Raw genomic sequence first — 25,105 nt, forward strand, 5'->3', positions numbered from 1 at the left:
TTTTTTCTTTTATAGTGTCATGTTATACCTAAGGATTCTTTGCCCAGCCCCATAATCTGAAGATTTTCTCATGCTTTTTTTCTAAGTTTTATAGTTTTATATTTAAGTCCATTACCCATTTTGAGTTAATTTTTATGTAAGAGATGAGATTTAAGTTGAGGTTCATTTTATGTCTATGAATGTTCAATTACTCCAATGCCATTGTCAAAATGCTACCCTTCCTCTAATGAGTTTCTTTTGCACCTTTGTCAGAAATCAATTGGGAAATAATTTGTGTCTTTCCCTCAACCAATACCACACAGTCCTGAGTACTATAGCTATATCATAAGTCTTGAAATCAGGCAGATTGATTCATCTCACTTGATTCTTTTTCAAAATTGAGCTATCTAGTTCTTTCGCTTTTACATATACATTTTAAAATAATCTTGTCTGTATCTATAAAATACAGGGATTTTGTTAAGAATTGCATTAAGGCGGGGCACGGTGGCTCACACCTGTAATCCCAGCACTTTGGGAGGCCGAGGTGGGTGGATCACCTGAGATCGGGAGTTTGAGACCAGCCTGAGCAACATGGAGAAACCCCATCTCTACTAAAAATGCAAAATTAGCCCAGTGTGGTGGTGCATGCCTGTAATCCCAGCTACTCAGGAGGCTGAGGCAGGAGAATCATTTGAACCTAGGAAGCGGAGGTTGTGGTGAGCCAAGATCGCACCGTTGCACTCCAGCCTGAGCAACAAGAGTGAAACTCCATCTCAAAAAAAAAAAAAAAAAAAAAAAAAAAAAAAGAATTGCATTAAATCTGTATCATTTTGGGCAGAATCGACATCTTTACTATGTTGAGTTTTCAAATCCATGAACACAATATGCCTCTCCGTTTATTTAGATTTTGTATTTCTTTCATTAGCATTTTGTGGTTTTCAGCATCCAAGTTCTATGCAAGTTTTGTTAAATTTACATGTGTAAGACGAATAAAACAGTTTTTCCCCCTACTCACACACCACTCCACATAATACTCCTGACACCAGCTGTGTAGAGGTAGTTCCCCACACTCGGTGCAGTTTTTCAGAGGACACCAGCTGGGCGTCCTATAATTCAATTCAATTGTGACAGTTATCTACCTGGAGATAACATCAGAACCCACAGTTGAAGGGCTTAGTCCCGCAAGATTCCCCCACCTTCAGATGCCAATCACAAGTAGTAAGTTGTTGTCTATACTTCTGATTGACCAGCTCTAAATCTGGGCTCCCACACCCTCTTATTGGCTCTATTAATTTGCTAGAGTGGCTCATAGAACTCAGGGAAACACTTGACTTACACTTACTGGCTTATTAATAAAGGATACAGATGGACAGCCAGATGAAGGGGTACTTAGGGCGAGGTCTGGAAGGGTCCTGAGCACAGGAACTTCTATTCCATGGAGTTGGGGTGCCCTACCCTCCTGGCACACAGATGTGTTTGCCAACCTGGAACACCTCTGAATGCCATAGTTCAGAGATTTTTATGGATGCTTCATCACATAGGCATGATGAATTCTTAACTCTCCAGCACCTCTCTGCTCTATGGAGACTGGTGGGGGTGGCTAAATGCTCCCAGCTTAAATTAGACGGGCATGGTGGCACGTGCCTGTAATTCCAGCTACTAGCGGGGCTGAGGCAGGAGGATCGCTTGAACCTGGGAGTCAGAGGTTGCAGTGAGCTGAGATCGTGCCACTGCACTCCAGTCTGGGGGACAAAGCAAGACTCTGTCTTAAAAAACAAACAAACAAACAAACAAACAAACAAACCTCCAAGCTTATCATTAAAGCTTGGTTGTGTTTATGGTTCTGGTGACCAGTCTCCATCTAGGAGCCCACCAAGAGTCACCTTATTAGAATAAAAGATGTGTCTGTTATCAGGAACTTCCAAGAGATTTAGAAGCTCTGTGTTAGGAAACTGGGTCAAAGAACAAATTTTAGAACAGAAGATTCCCCTAGTACCCCATTTGTAAGGATAGGATCTCTGTCTTAGGAACTAGGACAGAGACCAAATATTAGAACAAAAGATCCTCCTAGCACCCCTATTGCTCGGGAAATTACAAGGGTTTTTAGGAGGTCTGTGCCAGGAACTGGGAGGGCAGAGACATACATATATATATATATATATATATATTCATTGCTAGCATATAGAAATACAATTGATTTTTACATGTTTACTATGTTTATCTTGTATTCTGTAGCCTCTCTGAACTTCCTCATGAATTCTAGGAGTTTTCTGGGTTTTCTTGTTTTCCTTTTGGATTCCTTGGGACTTTCTGCATAATTTCATGTTCTCTAGATATACGGACAGCTTTATTTCTTCCCTTTTGTTCTTCATGCTTTTTATTTCTTTCTCTTGCTTTATTACACTGGCTAGAACTTCCAGTACTATGTTGAATAAAAAAGGTGAAAGCAGACATCCTTGCCTTGTCTCATTTTATGGGGTAAGCATTCAGTTTTTCACCATGAAGTATATTAATTGTAGAATATTTGGTAGGTGCTTTTTATCAAGTTGAAGAAGTTCTATATTTATATTTTTCTTAGAGTTTTTATCATGAACAGGTATTGAATTTTGTCAAATACTTTTTCTGCATAAATTGATATTTGTTGATGGAGTTTTGAATATTGAACCAGCTTGCTTCCCTGGAATAAACCCCATTTGGCCATGGTGTATAATTCACTTCCTAATACTGCTGAATTTTATTTGCTAATGTTTTGTTAAGGAGTTTTGTATCTATTTTTATGAGGCATATTTTGGTCTACAGTTTTCTTTTGTGTACTATCCCTGTCTGGTTTTGATATGAGAGTAATATTGTCTTCATAAGTTGAGAACTGTTTCTTCCTCTTCTATTTACTGGAAGGCAATGTGTTGAACTGGGGTTCATTCTTCTTTGGTGGAATTCTCCTAGGAAAACATCTGGACCAGGGGATTTTCATTTCAGGAGATTTTAAATTACAAATTCAGGCCGGGCACAGTGGCTGACACCTGTAATCCCAGCACTTTGGGAGGCCGAGGCGGGCGGATCATGAGGTCAGGAGATCGAGACCATCCTGGCTAACACAGTGAAACCCTGTCTCTACTAAAAATACAAAAAAAAAAAAAATTAGCCAGACGTGGTGATGGGCGCCTGTAGTCCCGGCTACTCGGGAGGCTGAGGCAGGAGAATGGTGTGAACCCAGGAGGCAGGGCTTGCAGTAAGCGGAGATTGCGCCACTGCACTCCAGCCTGGGCGACAGAGCGAGACTCCATCTCAAAAAAATAAAAATAAAAAATAAATTACAGATTCAATTTCCCTAATAGTTAAAGGGCTGTTCCGATTATCTATTTCATATTGGGTGAGTTTGGTGTTTTTTGAGGAATTGGTTCATTTTATCTAAGTTTATCAAATTTATGTGTGTAGAGCTTTTCATAGTAATTACTATCCTTTTGATGTCTATACAGTCCATAAAATCTTCTGTGCTTTAATTCTTGATATTGATAATTTCTGTTTTCTTTCATTTTTGCTTTGTCACTATCTAGAAATTTGTCAATTTTCTTGATTCTTTTCTAAGAACCAGATTTCTGTTTCATTCATTTTCTGTACTTTTCTATTTTCAATTTCACTGGTTTCTGCTTGTTACTATTTCCTTTCTTTGCTTGCTTTGGGTTTATTTTGCTCTTTTTCTAGGTGCTTGAGGTAGGAGTTTAGATTATTATTATTTGGAACTCTTCTTCTTTTCTAATATAAGCATTTATGATGCCCCTTTCCTAGTTCTTTGGCTACTGAGATAATTTTGAGTTTGGGGGGACCTTTAACCATTTTTTCTATGCCCTGTGGCATTTCCAGGTCGATGGCTTCTTCACCTCCAGGTCTGGAATAGATGAGGCAAAAAGAAAAGCCAGTAAAGTCATCACTGTCATTCTTTAGGGTCCAAGGTCCCCCGCTAGACTTCTTCCTTTTCTCTTTTCATATCTATATCTCTATGATGTGAAAATACAGATATAGATACAGCTATATGTAGGCATCTTACTAAACAATTTAATAATTCTAACCACTTTCAAGTGGATGAACTTGGATTTTGGAGGATAATAATCACAAACTTTGAAAAGTACTATGTTTTCTCTTTCTTTCCAATATTTGTACCTCACTTCATTTTCTGGTCACTGCCTTTCCCAAGACCACTGGTGTAATGTGGAAGTAATCACAATGATGGCCATTTATCCCTCTCTTACTTCTTGTATTTCAGTGTTAAATAGAATTGCTTTATAGGTTTCTGTAGGAATTGATGTTTTGAGTCATCAAATGTCGGTACTGAATTTATCAAGATGATTGTGTGGTTTTTCTATTAATTAGTTGAATCATAGTAATGGATTCTTCTAATGTTGAGTCATCCTTGCATTCCTAGGATCAATTCTTCTAGATCGTGTTGTGTTACTCTTTAAAAACACTACTGATTTTGAATTAGGAAATTATATTAGGATTTTTGCTTATGTATGCATTAATAAGATTGTGCTTAGAACCTCTCCTGCACACCAAACCAATAGCCTCTTTCAGAGGGGTCATATGTTCTTCCTATGGTCACTCTATTAAATTAATATCAAATTTCCTTTTAAATATTAAATTTCTTCCTATTAAATGCCTTGCCTGGCTTTTGCAGGCATTTTGAGTTGTTGAACTCTGGTCTGTACTTTGCTATTTTAGTGCCATACTATCCACTTTTGGTATCTAGGTTATGCTAGCTTTGTAGTAGAATTGAGACGTTCTATATATTTTCTATGTTCTATGCAGTCTAGCACAGGAATTAATATGTACTTTACACTTTAAAGGTTGTTAAAAGTAAAAAAAAAAAAAAAATGTAGTGAGTAGTAAAACCATCTGGGCCTGGGACCTGGCTGGTGGGGGGGTGGGATCTTTGACTATCTTTTCAACTTTTTTTCGTATAGTTTCTGATCTTTTCAGGTTTTCTGTCTCTTTTTTAATCATTTTAGTAGTTCATATACGTCTAGAAAATTTTTATTCCCACATTTATTCTTCCAAAATTCTTTTAAATATACTGGTATTTGCATATGTACTCTCTAATAATTCGAAATCAAATTCATGTCTGTAGTTATATCCTCTGTATTATTCCTAAGTTTGTTTTGTTTACTCTTTTTCATACTGGTCTTTTATTGATCTTAACATCTTTTGGGTTTTAATCATCAAACCGACTTTTTTGTTTTCTATTTCATCATCCTACTTTTTCTTTATTGAATCCCTTTCTTCTACTTTTTTTAAAGAACCTTATTATTGTTTAGCACATTTTCAATCTTTCTTATTTTGCATTTTAAACTTTGACTCTGTCTTTGATGCGTCCTGTAAATTTTGAGCTGAGTGCTCTGATTATTACTCATCGCTATATGGTCTCTAATTTCAGCTTTGATTTTCTTTTATAAATTACTCTTGGGTTAGAGCTCCAAGAGATCTGTAGTATTTCTCTTTTGAGGGTTTTATTAAGATTTTATTTCTGGCTGAATACTGAGTCAGATTTTTTAAGTGTTTAATAGAAATTTAAACATGTATTTTATGTTTGTTGAAAACTGAGTTTACATATGAAAATTATCTAGCTCAATGATTGTGTGTTCAAATCATCTATACCCTTACCTATTTTTTTGTCTGCTTGGTCTCTCAATTTCTGAGAAAGATGTGCTAAAGTTCCTCACCATGATTATGGGTTAACAGTTTCTGCTTGCATTTCTAACACTTGTGACACAGTTCCATGCTGTGTTGTTCAGTGGGGAAAGGTTTGTGGCTACTATTATCTTCTAGATTGCATCTTTAATCCATATAAAACATTCTCTTGCTTTTGGCCTTGAATTCTATTTTTGTCTGACATTGATACTGTGGTTTTTGCTTTCTTTTTGACAACATTTAGTTGGTTTATCTCCAGTCATTCTATATCATTTTAAGTCTTTTGAAAATAACAAACAGCTTGGTTCTGTACATTTCCCATCTGAAAGTCTGTTAACAGGAGACTCTAAACAGTATTTATTATAGATATTGGTATATTTGGACTTATCCCTGTCATTCATTTTCATTTTCTACTTAACACACTTCTTGTTTCTCTACCTGCCTCCTTTTTCTTTATTGCTATTCTTCATTGCTTATTCATAATGTTTTCTTTTTCATCCTTCTGTGCTTTGGAAGTTCTACATCCTATTCTTCTTATTTTTTTCATTTTTTGTTTTATTTATTTATTTATTGAGACAGGGTCTTGCTGCGTTACCCAGGCTGGAGTGCAGTGGTGCAATTATGGCTCACTGCAGCCTCAACCTCCCAAGTAGCTAGGACTACAGGTGCACACCACCATCCTTTTTTTTTTTTTTTTTTTTTAGAGACAGGGTCTCACTGTGTTGCCCAGACTGGTCTTAAACTCTTGGGCTCAAAGTGATCCTCCTGCCTCAGCCTCCCAAAGTGCTGGGATTACAAGATTGAACCACTGCACCCGGCTGACTCTTTAGTTATTTAAAGCAGAGTATTTAATCCTTATCATTGATGGGAAACTATAATTTTAATCAAAACTTGTAATCTACCCTCCCCCACCAAGACAAAATCTTTAGCACATTTTTACATGTTTTTAACTTCCAAGGATTTCTCGCCTCCTGATTGTTCTTTTTTCACAATAACCTATTGTTGTTTTACCAGTGCACTGTATCTTTGAAGAGAGAGAGAGAGTGTGTGTGTGTAGTGTATAAGTTCTGTTATCTGCATTGGAGTCTAGTTCTATTTATCCTCAACTGTCTCTATTGTGCAAATGATTTCCTCAAATATCTGATGATTCTTGCTTGTCCATTCATATTTTAAATACAGAAATGTGTGAACTGATTGTCATGTGTTTCCTCAGCAGTCATGAGCCTTGGTTTCCACTGCAGATCTCACCTCTGGAGGTAAGGGATGACTAAGAGCCACATGTCAGTAGCAGGTTTCCCTTTGGGGTGCCCGGGAAGTGAGCAGCCCACTGCTGGGACCCTCATGGGGCGTCATAGGGAAGCTTCATCCTGTGGAGCAGTTTCCCAGAGCTTACTTCTGAACAGAGTTGTGTTTCTCTTTTCCTTGCCTTATCCTTGACGCTGTCTACTGAGGTACCTTGTGCCCTCTGACTGATGTTCTAGACTCAGTATCCCGGAGAACAGTCCCTCCACATTCTAGACCAATTCCCAGCCTTAAGGGCTACACTCATGGGTCAAGCTGGGTTAAGCTTGGTCACACACACTGCCTCCAGCCTTCTACACAGCTGGGGAAGGGGCAGGAAGGATTGGTCCCTGTGTGCAGACTATCTTTTAACTTAGTCTGCCCGTCCTCCACATTTGGAGTTTTTTCAGCCTACCATTGTGAAGACTCTCTTACCTCTGCTGAGTCTACCACTGGGCCTGTGCAGGGTAGCAGTTCACTGCTGTAACTTTCCCATCAACCTGCCCCACCTGCTTTCTGCCTTCTAGAAGTTCATCAATGTACCTGGGGTGCTAATAGGGCCCACCTTTCAATGCTATTAAGAATTTATTTTCTTTCTTGGTGAAGGGAAGAAAACATTTATGCTTGGTCTGCCATCTTGAACCAAAAGTCTAGAAGGGGGTTTAGGATGTTACAAACATAGCTTTTTGAGTGAAAAAACAAATCACTAAAATATTTTTTCTATAAATAACTCTAAAAGAGACATCTCTTTTCCTTTAAATGTTAGTCACATAAATAAAATATAGGAATGTAGTAGTGTTTGTCGAAGACTAGAATGAAGTAGTGAGCACTACTGTCCCTACAGAGGCTGAGTGTTGGGGCTGAGCCTGTATTGGCAGCATTGGTCATATACACTGTCTGCCTCTATTAAAATGTAACTACTATTAGCAAATGAATTAAATACTTCAGTTGCCTAGTAACTAATCCAATCTGAGAAAGAAGCAAAAATAGAATACATAAATTTAGAAATTTTAGGCCACGTGCCAAGCAAAATATTCTTGCTATATCCTTTTGATCATCTGCGATTTGAATGGAAGAAAGAGTATTTTGGTGTCAAGGCAACATTTGTGTTGACATTTCTTGGAAAAAGTGAATATTGCTTGATAACTGAACATATATGAGAAATCATCTGGCTTCCCAGGGACCTCTGGCCACACTATCCCTCAAAATCACCAAATGGAAGAAACTCTGACTAGTAGCAATTTATTTTTCTGTCTTAATTAAAAAGCCAAAGGACATTATGTGATTTCAGCCACATTGTACTGTTAGAAGAAAAGTATAAACCATCTGCTTTACCCATTTTCATGAAAATAAAAATATCAAGCAGCTTTTCAACAAGACACAAAAAAATTAAACAATTTAATGTTTTGTGTACGTGAAGTAATTACTGGGGGGCCATATATTACAGTTCAAAGAAATACCATGATATTGACATTAAATGTGATGCCAGTTACTTCAAATATTACTTTTTTCTGTCTCCATTAAAAAAATTTAAAAAAAGTATTTACAGATGACATATTACAAAATAGTAAGTAAAAAAGAAAATGAAAAAATTATTCCCCTCCAAATAAAAAGAATGTAAAACTTAAAGAAGACTTATAAGACTAGTACAATGAATTTCATATACTCTGGACCCAGATTGATTACTTTATAACTTCTCTCCCTGTCTCCCTTTCTCTCTCTCTCTCTTACACACACACACACACACACACACACACACACACACACACACACACACACAAATGTATGCGTATACATATATACACATTCTCCCCTAAACCATTTGGGAATTAGTTTTGTCTTTAAATATTTCATTATGTATTTCCTGAGAACATAACCAAGCACAATTATACAATTCAGGAAATTTAACATTGGTATAATATTGTATCGGTTCAATTGTATTAGTATTGTATTGATACAGTATCACTATCCATATTCACATTTTGCCACTTGTCCCAATAATGTCCTTTACAGACATTTCTTTTTCCCTTGATCCAGGATTCAGTCCAGTAGCGTGCATTGCATTTGGTTATGTTTCTTTGATCTTCAGTAATGTGAAACAGTCCCTCAGCCTTTCTTGTCTTTCATGACATTGACGTTTTTGAAGAAAACCAAGAATGTCTCTTATTTTGGGTTTTTGTGATATTTCTTCATGATTAGATAGAAGACACATTTTCAGTCATTAATTGCCATCTTCTTTTGAATAATCTAAGTCCTTAAGAGGACCATCAGGTAGAAGGTGGTTAGCAAACATCAGAGCCTGTCAGTCCAAAGCGTAGCTGGGTCAGGTGTGGCTCTTGACTGGGGGTGGCTGGCAACCTTGCCAGCCCAGGCCCATGTGCTGAGGGCTATGGCCCCGGCTCTCTGGTGTATCACCACTTGGCACACAGTAGGCACTTCCTAACGAAGTATGCAGGGACTCATTCCAAAATAGGAAAGCAATCATTTGAGCATGAAACCTATTTTTTCCACTCTCTTTTAGAAATATAAAAGCTCATAAAAGAAGAGGCCACAAACATTAGCAAAAATATTTGGGCTATCTAAATGTTCTTCTATTACTAATACTTAGCAAGTTAAGTATATATGTGTGTGTGTGTATATATATACACATATATATGTGTATATATATACACACACATAAATACTTTAAGTTCTAGGGTATATGTGCACAACGTGCAGGTTTGATACATAGGTATACGTATGCCATGTTGGTTTGCTGCACCCATCAACTCATCATTTACATTAGGTATTTCTCCTAATGCTATCCCTCCCCCAGCCCCCCAACCCCTACAGGCCCCGGTGTGTGATGTTCCCCCGCCTTGTGTCCAAGTGATCTCATTGTTCACCTCCCACCTATGAGTGAGAATATGCGGTGTTTGGTTTTCTGTCCTTGTGATAGTTTGCTGAGAATGATGGTTTCCAGCTTCATCCATGTCCCTGCAAAGGACATGAACTCATCTTTTTTATGGCTGCATAGTATTCCATGGTGTATATGTGCCACATTTTCTTAATCCAGTCTACCATTGATGGACATTTGGGTTGGTTCCAAGTCTTTGCTATTGTGAAAAGGTTTTAAACTGATACCAACTTGAACTGTTTAAAGAAAGGTTGGCTGATAATTTGAAGGGTGAGAATTATGAGTAAACATCACTAGCAATGGAAATAAGTTAGTAAAATAGGCTAAAAAGGGAAGTTCACATTCAGGCCAGTGGGCTAAATGTATATAACCTGCCCATCTTAAAGTCAGGTTTTGCCCCCACATCCACGTTTTCAATGATGGATTAGGTTAGGGAAGGTTTTTGTGGGAACTGTGTGTGTATGTAAGAGCTTATGTTTACATGTGGTTGGATTTGGAAGAGGAAATATTCAAAGACCTGTTTCTTGTTCTCAGGATGTAAGAGTTTCATGTCTAAGTGCCCCAGGGCCACAGATTTTTCACTGGCATGGCCTATTATCACCCACATCCACAGGCATGTGGACATTATAAATTCTGGACAGTGTCAAACAGTTCTTCTTGGCCTCTGTATGCAACCTCTTTAGTGTCCAACTTCATTCCTTTCTGCAGCTCTTTCCTTCTCTTCCTCCATTCTCATCTTTCTGCAGTTTTTGCCAATCTCAAAAATGCAGGCTGGAAACATTATAGCAATTGCCCGAGGGCTGTGATGTCAAGTTCTTTGGACTTCTCGCCATAATGCTTTGTGCATCCTTCTGATTTGCAACTCTTATTTTATTATGGCTTGAACCTAAGTCATCGTTCTGAGCTTAAGTTCTCACCTGCTCTCTTCAGCTTCCATAGTACCTTCTCAACTGCTTCCCTTCTCCTCTGCTTTGTGCAAAGACCAAGGGAAGAGTGGGCAGCTCTTTGGAACAAAGATGTTGCTTCTCAGTCTTTTATTTATTCAAAAAGCATTTATTGAGCATCTACTAAGTGCCAGGCACTGTTCTTGGCATTAGAGGTAGAGGTGAACAGGTCAGATGAGCTCCCCACCCTCACAGAGTTTACATTCCAGTGGGAATCACTGGGTAGACTAAGATGTAAATACAGGAAGTTCATAGTTTCCGATGGAGATAAGCATTATGATGAGAATCAAATGGGTTAACATGAAAGATAGCAGGAAATGGTTAGGGCACTGACCCTGGCTTCCCAGTCTGTCCTCTCAGAGAGGATGCCCTCTCTAACTATGGGTTTTGCTCTGGTACTCCTCTGCACAAGCTGCTCATCTGTTCCCTCTTTTCCCTTAGGCTGGATCCAGGGTAAGTATGGGGGGAGATGCCAGCAAGAGCCCAGGAGCTGCTTAGGAAATGCTAACTTACTTGGAGTTTCTTGGAGACAAGACAGGGTGTGTATCTCTCACAGGCATAACCTGGGGGTCAAGGAACTGAATGATCCCATTCGATAATCTGAGAACTTACTTCCTAAAGAAAAAGACTTAGTTCGTTCAAGGGGAAGCTAATAGAGCATGATTTGTTTAACCTAATTTTTATGTGGAAAAAAATCAGAACTATGGTACAACAAATTTAGATTAGATAACGTCTTGCTTATACTTTCTAGACATGATGTGACTATACTGTACTGTAGTTAACTCAGTGATTTCTGTAACTCTTAGTAATTACCGTTTCAATTACATCTGCCCCTAAAATCGGGCCATATGCAAGTCTCTCATATATTATTTATCTTTCAAAACGAAAAGGTAACAGACTGAAATTATGACTTTAAACAGTGTAGGCATTATTTTTCCCACATCTTTTCAAAAGGTCACATCTTTGGGCTAAGGTTTGAATTTTGGAATGCATCTAGCTGGCTTGGGTTGGGCATGAGAGGAAGGAACAGCTGTATCTGTTCAGGGGTTAATTGGTAACAATTCTCTAAGCCATTGAAATGAATTCTTTTCCTCAGGCTGATGCCAGAGATTGTTGTATTATGAATTTAGCTGTGAGCAATTTTACATTGTATAGTACATAAAAGAGCATACACATTGTCCAATAAAAGACATGTGCTCTCACCAAAACTTAACCTAAGGCATTCATTTGGGGAGTAAGAGAGCAAGGTAGTTCTCATGCCTCTGGTAGGACAGAACCACTGCATCCAGCCAGGCCAAACTCACTTACATGTGGTGCTTCTCCATAGTCTGAAAAGGGCTTCCTTAGTCCTGCCATAGCACAAAGCTCAGATTCTCTTTGACCTTCACCCTGTCCTGCAATCCATGGGCTATGTGGGCAGCCCCGGGCCAGGGAAGCACTGGTTGGAGGGCTTTGATGCCCCCACCTTGCTTTGAGAGGGACACAGGGCACTGCTCTCCTTTCCTCTGCTATCTCCTGACTCCAAAACTCCTGAAAATGGCAGATGCCCAATGGTAGAGCTGAAATGAACACCTTTTTTGCATTTTCAGCTGAGGTGGCCCATGAGGGACAACAGAGGCCTCCCTGGAGAGACTGTGGCCCACATAACCCTCACCAGGGTCAACAAAGCAAGGCCAGAAGGTCAAACTTCCTGCCTTCAGGGATTTGTAGCCCTTTAACCTCTGGAGAGAGAAAGTTCAAAAAGGAGGTCCCTTGAATGGCCCCGTGCACAGATTTTATCACAGTACAACACAACACATGGACCAAGATTTCTCTACCCTTCCCACACCTAAGCAGCACCAGTCTGCAACATCATAAGGTTCCTAAGCAAAGAAAGCATAAAACTGGCAAAACCTGAGGGTCCCTGTGATTCCCTGGTGACCTTAATAGCCCTCCCACCTCTACCCCATGGGTTTGCCACCATTTTTCCTTCTTCTGAATCCTAAACACAGCCAGCTATGACCTAGAAAGTGTGGACCACTCACATGGTGCCTTTCCCCAAGAGCAGCCTCCTAATCCAGAGAGACAGACCCAAACAAGGAAGAGAAGAGAAACAATCTTTCATCTGCAAGAGCCTTTTTTTTTTTTAGCACAATGTGAAAGTAACCTAAAAGATAAAAGTAAAAACTTGAGATTCCAAAGAAAATGAACTGTAGTGGCAAGCATGATACATACACGATTGCACTCCACGACTGTCAAAATTCAGCAGGGAGAATCATTGTCCCTTGGTAATTATGCGCATCCATTAGCATGGCATCCATTCTTTGTCAGAAGCGTTTGGTGACAGTCTCTCCAGAGAAGCACACAGCTCGCGTGGCCTGCAGTTAGATGGCCAGGACGCACCTCCCCCAGGGAAATGCTGCTGCTAACACCATATTAAAGACAAAGTTTGTTGGGTTTTGTTTTTTTAATCTCAGATGCCAGTGCAGGGCACAAGATGTTTATTATAATTTTATAGACACCTCTAACAAAAGCTTCACTCAGGAAGGAAAATTAAACGTTAAGGTTTCAGGGATGGTGGGGTGGGGTGGTAAGCTGCAGAAGGTTGGAAAAGAGAGGGGAAGTGGGGCAAGCCATAGACATAGCTTCATTCCCAAGCTGGCAATTCTTACACTTAATATGTTTTGTCAGGCAAGTCTTCAATACAGATTAAAATGAAATGCCAAGTAATTTCCACCTCTCGGCCGCTCATGTCTGTGAACAATGGAGAGTGTTTTGATGAATGTCAGTTAATGGCACTTACGCTCTTGTAGATTTCATCCTCGCAGCAAGGTCTAAGAAATGGGGGGTTAGGGGGCTATCTGTGTGTGTGGAGGGGAGGGATGGGGAAGATTGGTCCATAATCCCCTTCTTACTAATTTGATTCATACTGATGGAAATTGAAAGTGAACCAAAAACAAAATCAGGATGCCCAGAGAAGATGACTCTTTGTTGTTAATTAGGCTCAAAGCAGAAAACATGATTTCTAAGAGCTGGGTCCACTAGGTGAAGGATTTCTTCACGTTTAGATTTTGCCAGGCAGCTTCTACTCCAGTGGAAGGGGCTGGCTGCATTGCTGGGGTCTAAGTCTTTGGTTCAACTGGGAAGTTTGCAGCAAGTCTCTCAATAGTCACACTTTCCAGTCAGTTCCATCCTGATACAAACCCGAGGCTGCAAAACCCACAGGCTGAGCCTTGTTATCTCATTTCCCCACACATCACTGCCTTTGCAATTTTGCATTCTGAACTCCCAGTGTGGGGTAATTTTGAAGAGTAGGATAAAAACTGAAGCGCCAGCAGAATTCTATCACCCAGGGATTTAAATCCTCACCTTCCTCACAACTGGCATGTGCAATGTACTTATTTCTCTTATCCTGTTCTTAAGCTTGATTGGGAGGATTTGGTTTTCGCTTATTCTCTTACTGCCTGGAATAGGAGCTTTAACTGGAAATTGCTGACTAATTTTATGGTTGTGTAGGTAACAGGGAACACTTCTGTCTGGTAATCATTGTGAACAACATCTCTCTGTATTCAAAGTCTAGTGAGTTACATTGGTATTCCCTTCACAGTCGCAGTGACCAGCCCATTGACTCAGCTTTGGTGCTTACGTGTTTCTTGTTGGTTTGCTTTATGGAATCACTGCTTACCAAATTTTGTAGTGTCAAACCCAGCCTTTTTAGATGTTGAATCAAAGAAATTCTTGGGAGGTGTGGAAAAATTATCTTCCAGAAATGGAAGTCCCAAGAGCAAGGAGAATAAAACTAAGGTGTCTTGGGCTCCTCTGTTCTCCTATGTAGCCCATGCTCATTCCCTTTCCCCGACCTCATCTGCAGAAAAACCCTCTGAAGGGGTTGCTGTCCCTAGCTCACCCAAAGGAAACTGAGCTCACTAGCTTGCTCAAGAACCTGCATGGCTAGGGAGGCCAGAGCAAGGCAGACTGATGGGTCTGTCTGATCCAAAGTCCAGCTCTCTCACTGAAGCCTTATCTTTCGGAAAGCTTCCAACAGTAACTCAGGAATTGAGCTTACTTGCTTTAAAAAAAAAAAAAAAAAAAAAAAGAGAGAGAAAAAAAAGGTTGATAAAACAACCTTCTGGTTATACTTGTACACTGATGCTGAATCCTGTTTTAAATGTTTTAACCTTGCACATTCCCGTCAGTGATTCGTCTCAAAGCAAAAAACATGATTTCCGAGAACTGAGTCCACTTGGCAGAGGATCACTTTGCATTAAAGGAATCATACATTTTCTCATGTACATTTCAGAGGCCGTGTGAGTTTTCACCTTCCTGGATAACCAAGAATGTCCATTTTGCTGCCAGTTCCAAGCTTTTCAAAACTAAAGTTTTAAAGAGGTGCTTCTAAAACATGAATAAAATGGAATGGCATGAATCAGTCTCCCGTCTTCATCGGGGACATTTGGAAAAGCAGTGAAGAGTAGGCAACCTGCCTGCCTGTGAGGAAAGGAAGGGCCACACTCCCTGAAGACGCCTGGGGACAGGAGGACTATGGCTCAAGCACAAGCCAAATGCTCGTGACTGACCCAGAAGCCCATGACCACTCCCCGCCATCATGATCCAGAGGCACACTGTTGTCTCGGCATCTGGGGAATGAGCACCAGCCTCCTGGGCTTGTCATCACTATCACTGGGAGAATGGTGGAGGCAGGGGAAGCACATGAGTGAGGCCGAGTCTCCATTTCCTCACCCATTAATTGGGGGCAATGATGCCCACCTTTCAGGGTTGCTGCAAGGCTTGGGGAGGGGGTTTGTGGAGCACCAGGCATGGTCAGGCTTGGTGAAAGATGGCTACTGCAACAGAGGGGTTGCAGAAGATTCCAGCTAAGCCAGCTATCTCTAGCCCTCCTCAGCCAACCTGAACTCAGTTACTGCTGCTTTTTCATAGTCTGTCTTTGATAACAATTCAAGTCTTCTTGCATTTGGAGGGAGTATATAGGTGGGAGTTTAAGGTGCCAGGGAGGTGAATATTGAGTCTTCAGCCCCCTCCTGGAAAGACTAATTCAGAAAAGCAGCTTTGTCAGGCCAGAAAGCTGCAGGGTGTCTCCTCAGGTTCTTTCCTCTGGGACCTTCTCAGGATCAGAGGGATTCTTCAATTTCTAAATCAAAGTAAAATCTCTGGCAAAACACCAAATAGAGCAGAGTGTCTCTGTCAGCAAGTTTTGCTTCCTGAAGAACCGTTTTTGCAGGCAGAAACACCAGCGGTCACTAGAGGAGCAGGAGGGTTGCAGCCCAGGAGCCTTGCCTCAGCCTAGACCCTCCACCAAGTGGAAGGCAGGGGACTGTCTGCTTCCTAGGGCAGGAGGGGCATCCCTACAAAAGGATTGCAAAATTTTGCTAATTTATGTTGGTGAAAACCTGAAGAATGTGCATAGGAATGGATTATAAGGATGTTGGACCAAAGATGGAGTTGAGAGATCCTGAATTTTATATGTCAGCTGAGCAGCTGGAAGTGGCTCCAAGAGATAGAAAAAAGTTTGGTTGGTTAGCTGAAAGTGAGACTCAATGGTTCTACATTCCATGCGGTTTCCAAAACTTCCTTGGCATCATGTAAGAGGATAGAATCAAAGGCTTAGAAGGCTGGGATGTGGGAATCAAATTATAATGTGAGCCCTGCACACCCACATTCACACTCTGTCCCTGGAGCAGGCTCAGAGGATACTCCCTTCAGTAAGGCCTTGAGCGGCCTGTCAGTGACTTTTCACATCCCCATTGGCCTGGGAGATCACTGCGGTGGCTGAGCTCCATAAGCTGGACACATTGGTGGGGGTGCTGTCATTGAGATGGGCTCTCCGATTTCAGTGGAGGTGGTAAGATCACTTTGTGTCAGAGACCAGAGATAGGCACTTAACTGCCAGGGACAAAGTGGCACAGTTACCTAATGAGCATCAAAATGTTTTTCAATATTGCCATTCAGCTCTTCTACCAACATGAGTTGTGTGAGGTTTCCTCTCTCCATTATTTTTCTTTGCTTTTACTACAACTACCTAAACACCATATACGCTATCTTGGCTATGAATTAACTGATACCTCTATTTTGATCCTTTTAAATTTTTCTTCCACATCCTGGAGAAAACCTCTTCCAAGGACACAGTGGGTGCCACAAATACATTATCCTTTGGCATAATGGACCCTAAGGCCAGGGGCGTAATTTAGAATGAATGTGCCAAGCGTGTGCCACTCCTTCAGGACAGAGCTGGCGATGGGAACTCCCCATTTTGGTATCTGGGCTTATTTCTGTGGTATTAGAGGCACCTCTTGGTGAGCTGCCAATTACTGTAACTGTTGATTGAGCCCAAGGATTATCTTTTATTCCCTCTACCAGCCAAGGAGAATGTCATCCCATTTTACAGATGGAGAAACTGTCATCTAATCATTAGGTGTGTGTTGCTGAGCTTTCTCCTTCTCTCCCACGTACCCAGAGTGTCCCTGCAAGAGCCCCTTTCAGACCTCCTCAAGTGCAGTGTGCTCATCTTAACGCCCCTGCCAACTTAGTTTGAATCAATGTTGTGGAGGAGCTGACTTGCTCATCTTCACTTTGCTGGTCTGGACCCATCATAGGAGTCAAGAAAATAAAAAGCATTAGTTTCAAAGGAAAGCTAAAGATGTTTGCTAAATATGTATGGCCCCTACCAACCTGTAGTTTCATAAAGGTTAATTGGCTGCTTTAAGCTCCACTACCTCAGTTTCCCCCATCTGCAAGATGGGGACAAAACCTTGACCTATTCCCCATCTTTTCACATCCCATTTTATTGCCTCTCAAGGACAAGGAGAACTGAAGTGCAACCATATCGTCAGCTGAGAAGATGGGCTTTGCTAAAGATTTTCTCATTTCACCCGTCTCTTCAGCTTCACGTGAAAGTCCCCCTTCTCCTGCCCCCAGGTCTGTAGCTATTGCCTTAGCCCTCAGGAGTAGGGAACAAAGGAAGGACATCAGCTAAGTTGTGGGCTTGATGCTTGTCTAAAGAGTATCCCATCCCTTTTTTTTTCTTTCTAGTGATGTAGAATGGGAGGGAGAGGGGGGTAGGGAAGGATGGTGTCACAAACACACAGTCTGAGAGCACCGAGCCCTAAAACAGAAAAATCTTCATCCTCTCACCACCTATGCTTCAAAGATTCATAAAAGCATGTCACTAGAAGCATCGCGTGAAGTGAACTAAGAGGCACTTGAGGGTGCATGATAATGTTAGCTGTGCCTTGTCACTTTGTTAAAGAATGTGCAAGTGCAGGGAGAATCCAGCAGTGAGTGCCCAGGCAGGCAGAACTCTTCACCCACCACACCCTCCCCCCCAACCTCGACCACCCACCCCCACCCACAGTTTTTTAGCCCAGGGTTAAGACGGCAGGTCCATTATATAGTGGACCATCTTTCATGGTCCCTATGAAGTTCAACTGAGTCCCAAGTTTGCTTTTTCTGAGTCTGAAAAGGTTTGCCTTGAAGTTAAGGTGACAAGAGAGTGACTGATTCCTGAAAATTTCTTGCAGAATGAAGGATGAGGTTGGACTTCTCAGTTTCTGTCCAGAACAAGGATGGAGAGGCTCAGCAGCACCAACAGGTCAGTAGGTAGGTTTTTTCTGTGCCATATGATTGGGTTCTGAGTTGCTGTAGCCATGGCGTTGGGCCAGACACATGATGGTCTGCTTTTGAGGCTCAAGGGTATTGTTATTTCCATCTTAGCAATAAGAAAACAAGCCCAGAGTGAGCACTGGACAGCGTTACAAGGCTGTAGAACATAGCAAAGTCAGGGGAGTGGTCAGCTCTGGGGCATGGAGACATGACTCATGTCCCTGCCCCTCTCCACCCTCTCCCTGGGATTCACTTCCCATGGGGAAGGGGTCTTTGCTCTTGTCTGTGCTTCAGACACTGTCTCAGAATATGGTCTTTCAGTGTCAACATTAAAATTTAATACCTAGGGTTATGGAAGTGTTTTACTTTGAGCAAAGTCTCAGGGATATTTTTCTAAGCATTCCTCATTCAGTTATGTCAGTAAATAATTGCACAAATAATTTTTTAAAAAGTGTTACCAAGAAAGCTGCATGGACCCCTTGAATTCTGTCCCCTGCCTTGGTCTCTCCCACTTTCGTGTTCTTCCTGTTTGTGCATCTGAATAAGCCCCTTCCCCAGGCATGTGAGCACATCCATTTGCAGGAAAGCTGCCCCCTAACCCCAGGACTGGAGGCTTTTTTGAGGTGTGGTACAAAGAGCCAGAGTTCCAGAATTCACCAGCTCCAGCTCACCTGTGTCTCCCTCAGGGGCGAACAGAGGTGGATCCTTGAGCTGCTCCAATAATGACATTCTGGAAGATTCATGTCAACCTCTGTGCCTCAGCCTAGAGTTTGGGGAGAGGACCCCCCCATGAGGCGACTGCTCACAGCCCTTAGAAGTTGGTTAAGAACTATAGGGTGATTTGGATTTGTAAGTTGTCCTTCAATTTTGCTAGTGATTTCTCTAAATAATGGCCAGGAGATCTGACAGGTCTGGAGGTGAGACTGAAGTGAGTCATTGCCGGTGTCAGCATGTGTGTGCCAGTGTCTCCCAGCTCAGGCTGCAGAGTGTAAGAGAGGGTGACTCATTCGTTCTCAGAAGCCTGTTCTTGGTTACCTTTCCCTGAGTATTTTGTGGTGGTGTTGAGGTAACTCATTTTGTTCAGAAGCAGAACTTCCCCTTACTGCTACTCTAGGAAATCATGTTTCATTAAAGGGTTTTCTTCCTCCAAAACTCTATTAGCTGCTGCATTTTTTAAGAGAGAGTTTCTTGGGAGAACTACTGGAGAGAAGAGAATATAAACATATTGTTTTAGTCCTGTTCTTGCTTTGCTATAAAGAACTACATGAGACTGGGTAATTTATAAAGAAAAGAGAATTAAATGGCTCACGGTCCCACAGTCTGTATAGGAAGCATGGCTGGGGAGGCCTCAGGAAACTTACAATCATGGCAGAAGGGGAAGCAGCCTAGGAAATTTCACAGGGCTGCAAGGCCAGGAATTGTGGGGAGGAAGCAGGACTTTCAAAAAGAAAAATTAGGTCTCTGCTGCTAACCAGAAATGCCCAGCCAGGCCTTTGAGGTCTCAATGCCAGTCAAGTTTTCCAACAAATATACTTTCCAAATATACATTTTGTCTGACAAGAAAGCATTTTGAGTTCCGGCAACAGAAATGCAAGAGCTGAGGCAAAAGAGGTGGGCATGCAAGAGGAAGTGAGAACGGCTTACCTGCTCCTGTGGGCAGAGCCCAAGGGCCCCCTCTGTCTGGGCGGGCAGTCTCAGGCTTGCCAGGATGGTTTGTCCCCAGGGTCCTGGGCAGGCAGCAGGATAAGCGAGGTCAGTAACCCCATGAGTACTGACCACAAGGTCAGGGCATTTGAGAGAAAATGGAGACAGGATTGTCTCGTTCACTTATTAGTAGGCATTTGTCATATACCAGGTAAGGAAATAATCCTCCCATTGTCAATATATCTTAATCCTCGTGTTGTCTATATGTCTTTCAAGGCTTGCAGGGGAGGGAAATGCTTTGTCAGAAGAAATCCCTTTTCGGAGATAAATGCAGATGCACCTCCTTTTACATAATGGGCATGGCCCTTAAAATGAAGTGTGTCTCACACATGATATTCGGGGCAGCAAGGAAACTTGCCTTTTCACACAGTCCTCCTAGAGCTTTTGAGGACGTCACTCCTTAGGTGGGTTTTGTGTAAATTGAGTTTCCGTAAAGGTTTTTCTGCAATTTGGTTTCCAAAATAGCAACAAATACTATTCAGTAAAGGCAAGGAGGTGACAATCCTTAGTGCCTCAAGTCCTAGCCATCTCTGATGATCAATACTCATGGGATCTTCACTTCCTTGTTATTACTGCCTTCCCAACTGCCCTCTACCAGCCTGGTAACTGAGATGACCACAATTTTTTAAAAAAGAAAAAAATCCAACCACCTTAAAGCATTTAAAATTCAAATAAGAATTAGAAAAGCAGAGTTCTGAGAACAAGGTCAAAAGAAGGTCTCTTTCAGTTGTATGCAAGTGTCACAGTTAAATCCTTGTGAATAGAAGAATCCAGGAACTTCCATCCCTCAGACAGGTTGAGAGAGTATGGAGCATAACTCTACAACCACCCAAAATATAGGATTTAGACAACTTCAATTTGGCCAAAAAAAAAAACGCAACTAACTAAGGCATGAAATTCACACTGTGGAAAAGAAGAAATCATAAATTCCCTCCCTGATGCTAAGTCGCGTTCAGGCAAAAGCAAATTTTCTGGCAGTGAATCAACCATTAAAAAAAGCTGCTTGCAGCACAGGGCACAGAGCAGACTTCTCAAACACTGGTGCTTATTATTCTGCTTCCAGCCTTTATTTCTCCTACCCCTCCCCTCTGAAAGCCGCGCTCAAATACAGCAATCCATCCACAGAAGAGCTACGCCTTTCCAAGATTAATTACAAGCAGGGGCCACGTGTCTGGGCTGGATGTGTGATTGATCCTGCAGGAGGAAATGCAGTGGGAAGCTAATGAGAAGCTAATGCTTGCTGCCTTTTATCCAGTAAGCAAAGTTCAAAGATGTTTACATTCTGCTAGTTAAGCAAGACCTAAGATGAATGGACTGTCTTCTCAGCATGAATTCTCGCCAAGGCAACACATGTATGTGTCTCAGAGGACCTCACCTGGGCCACAGAGGCCAGAGGGTCAGAACTCCTAATTTTGCAAATAGCTTGATTCCATCATGTTTTAATTAGCAAACTGATTATATTCAAGAGATTGGTGAATGAAAAGTAGATTAAGATCAGTGCAGCAGAATTGGGATATATAGGGTTAGAATTGGGATGTATAGACCAGTGGGAGGTATGGAGACTAGATAGGGGTCCTTGCAGCTAATTCTATAATTGGCAGGCGAGAGAGTACTCTTAGCACACCCGATGAAATGTGCTAAGATGCTGGAATTTCCTAATTTTTACAGAAAAGAAGTCTTGTTTTTTGCTACATCCTCCCCCGGGAGAAAAATTAAAAACTGAGTATGGGATTCATCAAAACAATAAAAGGAGGAGGAAAATATTCCATGTGGCATAGCTATACCTTGGAAAAAATAAATGACAAAGAGAGTTGGTAATTCAGGAGGTCCACCCTCGACTCTGATGCCTAGCAGCTGAAATGGCATCACACCAAAGATGTGTTGTGTAGCCCTGTAGCCTGGAAAGCTCCTGGTCTCTATGGCCACTTGCTAGCTATGACTTTGGGTAAGCTAATTGTCATTTCAAAGTTTCCATTTCCTTAAGTGAGAAATTGGTAAAACAGTACTATTTCAATTAAAGAAGATAATGGTCCGGGTGCTGTAGCTCACACCTGTAATCCCAGCACTTTGGGAGGCCGAGGTGGGTGGATCACAAGGTCAGGAGATCGAGACCATCCTGGCTAACATGGTGAAACCCCATCTCTACTAAAAATACAAAACATTAGCTGGATGTGGTGGTGGGCGCCTGTAGTCCCAGCTACTCTGGAGGCTGAGGCAGGAGAATGGCATGAACCCAGGAGGTGGAGCTTGCAGTGAACCGAGATCGCGCCACTGCACTCCAGCCTGGGCGACAGAGCAAGACTCCATCTCAAAAAAAAAAAAAAAAAGAAGATAATGAATGTGAAGCATCCAGGCTGGTAACAGAAACATAGTACATGCTCAACTCATGATAAGGCTATTTGTTAGACGTTCCAGTAGCACCTGGGAAAAGCAGGAGGGAAAGGGCAGTGTTCAGTGGCTGGGTTGGCAAGGGAAGCATACTGCTCTTTTGTGTAGCAAAATACTTTTCACACAGAGGGCAAAAATCCTGTCCTGACACCTCTGACACCAAATAGGTTTAATGTCCTCCCCTCACAGTTACCATAATGATGTCTAGGCACTCACATCAGGATGCATATTCAGCTCTGTCCAAACATGGGACTTTCAAATCTATACATGCACACCATCATCTAAAAACCACTCATAGGTCTTAGCAAGAATTAGTCTAGACTAACACAAAAAGGACTGTATGGAGCTGAAGGCTATTTGGAGCAAGAAATCAGCCAGGGTGAACTGTGGTTTAACAGCAGTGAGCACCGCCTCATCTCTAGAGTCTGTGTTGGAAACCAGGCCCCATGCTGGCAGCTTTCCCTCCCCAGTCCCACATAACTCTCACAACATCTACATGAAGGCTGTGAGGAGATGAGGAAGCAGATGGATGGAGAATTGGAGAGGGAAGCCCAGGTGCTTTGCAGGGGCTCCATAACCATAATGGCCATTATTTATGGGGCACTTATGGTGTTCCCAGCGGCATGCCATGCACCTCACGTGTACTTTTTTATTTAATCCTCAAAATAACCCTGCTGTGTAAAACCAAGTCTCACCATTGCTAATGTGGGGATTGTAAGAGTCTCACAGGTCAAGCAACTTGCCCAAAGTCACACAGCAGCAGGCCTAGGACTCAGGCCCCGGGGAACCTAATCACAGTCCCAGCGCTTATACCCCCAGAATGCTTCCTCACATCCACCAAAGGCTACCAAGGTAACATAGAGACCAGCGGGAGGCATGAAGACTAGATAGGCATCCTTGCAGCCAGATTTCTGTAATTCGCAGGCAAGAGAGTACAGTTAATATCTGAAGACCCTAAAAGATATGCCCTGTGGAATTTTACCATGCGCTCTGCCTATGTACTATGCAAATGGCAGTGAGTTTTGACAAATTTCCCAGTCTATGCTAATATCAGCTTACATTTACCCACTGCCTGCTATATGTGTACCAGCACTGTTCTGAGTGATTGACATGTATTAACGCAGAATCCTTACAGCAATCCTGTGTGGCCGGTGCTATGGTTATGCCTATTTTACAGATAAGCAAAATGAGGCCAGAGAGGTAAAGCAACATGCTTAGTGTCACAGAGGTAGAAGCGGTCCAGCTGGGATTTGAACCTGAGCAAATGTGGCTACAAGGCCCACCCAGGCTCTTACCTGCACGGGGACATGAACTAGAAGAGCAGCACACTGTGGGGCCTGGAGATTCGGCTCCTCCATGTGTCAGGTGAATACCTGACACTGGTGACTGCAGGAAGGGATGTGCCTCATCTAACAATTCATGTGAATGATTCCACCAAGCCTTAAAGAGGACAGCACCAAAGACAAGTGACAGGTATGCTTTCCATTCAACCATCCTCAAGCCCTTCATGTCCTTTATGGTAACTGTGAGGGTAGAACGTTAAACCTATTTGGTGTCAGGACAGGACAGGATTTTCCAGCCATGGAAAAGAGATGTTTAGCTGATCTTCCTGTTTTAACCCTTTTCACTTAGCGTATTCAGCTGACGCTGGGTGGGGCTGCCAGAAACAGTTTGGAGGCATGCTGAGTGCCGTGACATCCTTGTCTGAAAGACATGGCCGCTGGCTGGCATCCAACACTGTGGTTGACTTTCAAACCATTTAATTGAAATCATTTTTTTAAAAGGAGGGGTAGGTGCCAGAGTAGGAGAAAGATCTTGGCAAAAACCTTATACGCACTTTTTCCACCACTGGCTTGACCAGACAGGGCCACAAAGCCGATACAACAGGATTAGCAAAATTGCATTGTTGGACATAGGCACAGCGTGACAGGTGGTACAGCAAAGGCATTTGGCAGGATTAACCTGCCAAGGATAAAGATGTAGCAGACAAGGGGCTGAATTAATGGATTGGCATGACCAAAGCAGGGAAATCTATTTGCATGCAATATTAACTGTGCTAATAAACTCCAGGCTGAGCTCAGCAGGCCAGGCAGCCTCTTTGAACCAGGGGTTTTATTTTTCACCTAGAAGGCTTCTGCCAAGATAGGCTAAAACAAACAAGCTTTACAGGTTGCCTTTTGGTTTTTTTGCCATCATCTTAAAGTAGACATGCTGTCTTAAATGCCTACAATAACATGTATGCTTTACTGACCATGTAGAATGATCCTAATACCTCAGAATTTGGAAGCCAAAAGGTCCTCCATTTAGAGGGTGATTGTCTATGAAAAAGCAGTGAAGAAATATAGATACGGCACACTCTGGAAAACACCTACTTGGGATAGGTTGTTTTATCTGAGTTTTATATTCTGATTTCCTGAAAGTCGGGGGGGTCTGGAGTGAGCAGGCAAGATGTCCAAGATGCAGAATCTCAGGAAGCACCCATGGTCTAGCTCAGACGAGAGCAGGATCAGCACGGAGGGTGCCTCTCTCCTCTCGCCCTGGCCCCATCCTGGCAACAGCATAACATCCACCCATTCAAAACCATGAGTGGACTTGAATACACTTCACACTGACACTAACTGCACTGCTGAGTGTT

At 42.0% G+C, this 25,105-nt stretch overlaps 1 long non-coding RNA gene across 4 annotated transcripts in view, besides 1 other annotated feature; it reads left to right on the forward strand.

The window, feature by feature from the left end:
- LOC124909489 (uncharacterized) overlaps positions 1–25,105 on the forward strand; it is a 123,033-nt gene that overhangs the window by 86,429 nt on the left and 11,499 nt on the right. For 2 of the 4 annotated variants that reach the window (XR_007096253.1, XR_007096256.1), the window contains exon 3: positions 18,297–18,367. This is a non-coding gene — a long non-coding RNA (uncharacterized LOC124909489). Of the gene's footprint in view, positions 1–18,296; positions 18,376–23,647; positions 23,944–25,105 lie in introns of all 4 variants that reach the window. The other 2 variants (XR_007096255.1, XR_007096254.1) reach the window with 2 other exon arrangements.
- Positions 19,092–19,251: an enhancer, noted in NCBI's record as "active region_19760". NCBI's record gives its function as "activates an Ori minimal core promoter by ATAC-STARR-seq in GM12878 lymphoblastoid cells {active_cell/tissue: GM12878}" and the evidence as "EXISTENCE:reporter gene assay evidence [ECO:0000049][PMID:35858748]".

Source organism: Homo sapiens, chromosome 3 (genome assembly GCF_000001405.40).
Source record: "Homo sapiens chromosome 3, GRCh38.p14 Primary Assembly".
NCBI classification, from domain to species: domain Eukaryota; kingdom Metazoa; phylum Chordata; class Mammalia; order Primates; family Hominidae; genus Homo; species Homo sapiens.